Source organism: Homo sapiens, chromosome 5 (assembly GCF_000001405.40).
Source record: "Homo sapiens chromosome 5, GRCh38.p14 Primary Assembly".
NCBI classification, from domain to species: Eukaryota; Metazoa; Chordata; class Mammalia; order Primates; family Hominidae; genus Homo; species Homo sapiens.
In genome coordinates this window covers 130,990,472-130,996,672 of record NC_000005.10, presented here as the reverse complement: position 1 = coordinate 130,996,672, position 6,201 = coordinate 130,990,472, and the positions used below count along the sequence as shown (strand labels likewise).

The window sequence follows — 6,201 nt, the reverse complement described above, 5'->3', positions numbered from 1 at the left end:
CCTGCCACATCTTTGCAAATAATCCCTTTATTAAACTTTCTTAAGAAAATCCCAATTTAACCATGTCTCCTTGTTTTTTTTTTTTTTTTTCTGGGATGTTGATTGGTACAATATGTGTTTACCATACTGCCTTGTACATAATAAATGTCCAACACAGTGATATTTATCATTAAGAAGACTGAAAACATGTAATCATTCTTACAATATCTATACAACTGGTATGCTGAACAAGTGTGGTGATAACCACACAGCTTAAATAAAAATAATCTTACCACTGTGTGTTTAAACTTCATTTGGTGATGATAATTTCCTCTCCCTGGAGGAAAACTCTAGAAGTCCCATGATTTCTCTACTCATTCTATTTTTTTTTTTTTTTTGGATGAGCACTGGGACTTTATGACACAGCACGGCACTCGTGACAACGGGAGGGGTGGGCAGAAATACAGGTCGGAACATGCTACAGTCCAGGGACGGTTGGTCATTCAGAAAGTACGTGTTTCCAGAACACTCAGTAGTAAGACCGTCTGGGGTTGTTCCGGGGGGTTGGGCCGGAAGCGGTAGGCCGGCATCATCCTCTTGAGGAAGGCCTAGTTCTCGCCGTCTTCCTTGGAGACAGCGGCTGGCGGGTCAATGCCGAAGCCGGCACCAGCCACTGCGGTGGTGCCCTTGTTGACCGGGTTCTTGATGCCCTGGCTCGCTGAGGCCCTCACCCTCCTTCCAGCCCATCTTCATCAGCACGTTCTCCTCGGTGAGCTTGAACTCCTTGTACTCCGAGTAGTCAGGCTCGCGACCCTCCTTCAGGGCCTTGAAAGTCTCCATAAACTTCTCCAGCTTGTCTGGAGGTAGGAAGTCTCCGATGAAGTGCTTGCCTCGGCTCATCTTCGTCAGCTGCTCGGCCCATTCCCTCGTCTTGTTCATCTCCATGCGCTGCAGCTGGTGCTCCCAGGTGCGCAGCTCGCTGCTCACCTCCTCGTCGCTGTGGTAGCCGTGCTGGTGCTGCTGCACCGCCTTCTCCCACAGCAGCTGCATATCCTGCATGGCCCACTTGTGCTGCATGATCATGTCGTACATCTGATGCATCTCCTGCTGGTCCTTCAGCTGCTGCTTCTGGGAGCACGATAGCTCCGTGAGGCCCGCTAGACCCACGGACTTCCCGTTCTCATAGCCGAGCCCCTTGAGGTCCTGAACTGACAGAGGTGAGGGAGAGGCATCCACGTCCCTCTGCACCAGCTCAGCAGGTGAGAGCTCTACTTTGTTCTCTTCAGGCCTCCACCGGCTCTTCGGCTTCCTCTTGACGGTGGCTGCGGAGGCTGGCTCCCCGGGGGCGCCTGGAGCGGGGATGACGGGGGGGACACAGGCGAGGACGAGGCGGGGCAGGTGGTTGTCGGGCCTCAGGAGGAGACCTGCGCTTCAGGCCGGGGTCGGGTGCCTGTGGAGCCGGCCTTGGCTTTCTGGAACTCCTCCAGCTTCTGTCAGTAGCAGTTGGACGCTTGGCTGTTGGGCTGGCTCGTACAGAAAGCTGAACGCCTGGTTTTCGCGGTTTTTCTGGAGGGCGATGGTTTCCATCTCGGGATCCCCGCGCGCTATGAACTCGGCCAACTTTTCTGCAAGGTTCTTGACCTCTTCGTCCTCTGGGGGTGAAACTTTCTGAGAGGCTGCCTGCGACTTCTGCTCTTCCTTTCTTATCTCAGCCACTTCCTTTCTGTGGTAGAGGAATTGCCTGCTATTCTTACCGTGCAAAAATGGAAACGCCAGGTTATCCTTGTAGTCCTCCGTAATCACTTTTTCTAACTCGGGGCCTGCTTCTGCCACAAAGGGGCCAATTTCTCTATCACTTTCCGAGTCTCGACTCCCTCTGGGGGTGAAACTTTGATCTCCAGCCACTGCTTCTAGTCCTCCTCCTCACCCTCGTCGTGGGACTGGAAGACACTCGGGCGGTGCGCCACAGGCAGCTGCTTGGCGTGCGAGTAGAGTAGCTCTTCACCGGCCTGGCGGGTTGGCCAGCCCTAGGCCTATCCGCCTGCTGATGAGGAGGGACCTCTTCCCGGCGCAGGAGGTAGGCGTGCCGGGAGGGGCACTGGGCGCCCTGGCGTTGGGGGTGAGGGGCATCTGTGCTCGTCTGTGCCATCTGCAACTTCAGAAACTGCTGCAAGAAGCTACCGTCGTTGGCAAACTTGTTTGAAACGGAGGAAGAGTTGTGTGCATTTGTGATTTCGCCGGGATATGGGGGCTGTGGGCTGGCCACCTCATTCTGCTTGGCTTTCTGTTGCATTTTGGATCCAATTTCCCCTTTCTTCTGAGCGATGAGCTGTTCCTGGTGAAGGATGTTCATGTTCATTTTTCCAGATTTAGGGGGAGAAACCCCAAACCACCGGTTAGCCTTTCCTGCAACGTCCCGGTTGTCCATCTTGAGACTCATCCAGTCCCACAGTCTCTCTACTCAGTCTCATGTGACAATCCTATAGTCACTTTAGGACATGAACACACTCACAATTCAGTAATTAGAATGTCCTGACCATGGGATAACAAAGATCTGACCTTGGTCGCCTCTTCTCCTGTTTCCCAGATTGTACCTGCTCCAGGCTGCTCCCTGCTGTAGGGACAGGGTGAGTTCCTGGCTCTCTCTCATCTCACCTCCTTCCTATCTCAGAAACTGCTATTTTGGAACTGCCAGTGTTAAGGGTAGGAGAGAGCAGAGGTATAGGGGAGGGCACTGCTTGGCTAGGAAGCTTCGGCTTCTCTGGACATATGGATGGTTAAAGCTGATGCTCCAGGGTGGGTCTGGAGATGATGAAGCCGACGCTTCTCTCTTGGGTGCTTCTCTTATGCAGCTCCCTGGACTTAGATGGATTGCTTCCTGGGCATCCACCACACACCTCAGCCTCTTTCTGCTCTTCCTTCCTGTAAATAGTCCTGTTGACTGCGAAGGAGGATAACCTCTCCCTGACACTCTCTCCTTCCTGACACACACCTGTTGTGAAACACAAAGCATCATTCGGCTCGGTCCTGATGCCGTAGTGGTCTCTTGGCTTCTCCATCCAAGCAGTTAATGAGCTTCCAGACTTCCTAGTCCCCAGACCACTTGAGCTTCATCAGGCCAAGTCAGGCACCAGTCTTTCATGTCTCCAATAGCAGGGAGCACATTTCCAAGCTGTTGCAGGGGTTCCCTGAGACTCCCCAACTAGGTTTGGCGATAGAAGGCAGCATACCTTAACCCATCCTCTAAAGTATTAGAGATGAGGAGAGGAGAGCCCTCTCCAAAGAGATCTTGTCACCATATTCTCAACCTACCAGTGTCTCCAATCTCTTTTATGTCCTTGACTGGACTGAGGGATCCAAGAGTCAGAAACAAGTTCTGGTAGGGCTCTTACTTGGTACAGCTGCATAAGATATTTGGTTTGTGATATCTGTCATATCAGCCTCATTGCAGAAACACATATTTTACGATATTAGCCAAAATTGTTTAGTGTTTTTTTAATTTTTATTTTTAGAACAAAACCTTAATAATTGGGACATGGCTAGAAGAAGAGAGTTTTTTGATTAGCAGTTTGATGATGGTATTTACATTATTTTTCTTCTGCCTACATTTGTCTTTTTTCTATAAATTTGAACATAGGATAGAGAGGTAGAACAAGGGCAGAAGTGGGGAGTGATAATACTACAAGCATCTAGAATGACTGATATTGACATCTGGAGCTAGATGCTATAGGGGAGGCATAGACACAGGGAGGGGGCATCGTGCACTCTGGGATTTATAATTCAAAGGGAGAATCTCTTATAATGTAAAGGGAGATACTTACAAAGTAGAAGGGAATCAGTGACTTGATTGTGGTGATGGTTGCACAACTCTGTGAACATATTAGGAACCATTGGATTAGTCACTTTAAATGGGTGCATTGTATGATATATAAATTATATCTCAATAAAGCTGTTAAAAAAGAAAAGTAAGACAAAGTGGGAACTAAGAGAAAAGAAAGGGTTCATTCAATCTGGAGAGTCTGGGGCCAGAGCACACTATTGTTATGTGAGTCTCTAGGTCACAGAAGATCAAAAGAAGAGGTTGATATAAAACCTGGCTCTTTTTGTGGGATCATTGTGTAGCTCAGCTGATAAAAGAGACTTCCCTGAAACCCCTTTAAGCCTGCAAGCACCATCTCTGCATTTTTTTCTCTAGTGGCTAAACAACGATGGAGAAGGGCCTGCCTTTTCTTACAGCTGGATGTGGCAAGCAGCCATTTCGCCATATAGACTGGTAAAAAGTTGAACTGAGACCACAGACACGATGATTGTAGAGTCTGTTTGCCATCCCAGGCTGTCAGTGGAAGACGCAGGGTGTTAGAGAGAATGAGGGGATAAGACACAGAAAGAGCAGTTCAGAGCTCTTAGCATTCTTTGAAGGTGATGTTAAATGTTCCAGGAAACTGAATGCTTTTAGAGAGAGATGGAAGGCTGCATCTGTTGAGAATTAAAGTGAAGAGGTCTGACTCATCTGTGTCTCACAAGAAATTTAAAAACTTTTTCCTTTATTATGTAAATTTTTAAACACACACAAAATAGGGAGAATAGAATAATAACTTCCTGTATAGCCATGGCTCTGAGAGGAGGGCACCATAACAGTTGAAATAACTACACTTTGCCTTATCCTTTTACTCTGCAAAAATAATATTCAAAAAAATGTAATGACATTGAAACAAATGTACTATTTAGTATTCTGGCATAGATGTCCATTTTAATTTCAAATTATGATAAAATAACGTGCAATTATTTTTTTGTTATTCAGTTTGAAGGCATAATGTCTTTGATAAATCTAATTGAATGGGTAACTTTATTCTTCCGTTCATATTTTTAAAAATTTTGGCTGGGTGCCGTGGCTCATGCCTGTAATCCCAGCACTTTGGGAGGCCGAGGTGGGCAGATCACAAGGTCAGGAGTTTGAGACCACCTTGGCCAACATGGTGAAACCACATCTCTAGGAAAAAATACAAAAATTAGCCGGGCATGGTGGCGCGTGCCTGTAATCTCAGCTATTTGGGAGACTGAGGCAGGAGAATTGCTTGAACCTGGGAGGCAGAGGTTCCAGTGAGCTGAGATTGTGCCACTGCATTCCAGCCTGGGTGGACAGAGCAAGACTCCGTCTCAAAAAAAAAAAAAAAAGAAAGGTTTAAGCACATGGAATTAAATGTATCATTCTCAAATCTTACAACACTTGATTTGGCATTATACCACAAGTTTAATTGCAGCAAAAGGCAAACAAGTGATATGCTCAGACTTCCCATTTTGTCAGCATGTAATATCTTTTCTAAATTATTCAGCAGTTGATTACCCAGATTACTTCATTCGTTTTTCCTTTTGCTTCCCTGTGAACTTTTAACTTCAGTCATTCACTCATCAACGAACTTTGTCAAGAAGGAGAATTAAAGCAAAACAATCTATTTAGCCACTCTGCCACTCTTTTTTTTTTTTTGGTTTGTTTGTTTTTTGTTTTTGAGACAGTGTCCTGCTGTATTGCCCAGGCTGTAGTGCAGTGGTGTGATCATGGCTCACTGCAGCCTTGACTTCCTGGGCTCAAGTGATCTTCCCACCTCAGCCTCCCAAAGTGCTGATATTGCAGGCATGAGCCACCTTGCTCAGCTATTTTGACTCTTTATCATCTTCAGGAAAATATCTGGAAAAACTAGTAATTAAATCTCCAAAAGGCACTAATCTATAGCAATTTTGCCTCTTGCCTCAAGTGGGAGTTTGGAGTTGTCCATGAGAATTAATCCCTGTTAGGGAGGATGATCAACAGGTCAGTGTTAGGGAGCAACATCAGGAGTCTGGAGGGCAAAGACAATGGGATTCCCAGGGTTTACCCCCTTGCAACAGGACCCAGTGGACAGATGGAGAATGAGAACCTAGGGAGCACTCCCCTTTGCCCATCCTCTCATCACCCCCAGGTAAGGAACTGAAGGTTCTAGTAGGGAAGTCGAGGCTGAACTGTGGTTACATAGTCTGAGTCAATACAGCAGATGCAAGACCATGATAGTGGACTCAGGCCTCAAACCGGAAACCAGGTCTACATTGGCAGATTATTTCTAAATGTCATGAGTCAGTGGGATGAGGCTTTCTCTGATTCCTTAGAAGGTTGGCAAGGCTGCGCATGATTTTCTGTGCCCAGCAAATAAAGTCTAAGGAAGGCTGAGCTTTCTGGTTCTCTTTTTT

General features: G+C 47.1%; 1 pseudogene; it reads right to left on the bottom strand.

Moving 5' to 3' along the window:
* LOC402229 (SURP and G-patch domain containing 1 pseudogene) lies at positions 377 to 2,430 on the bottom strand (annotated as a pseudogene).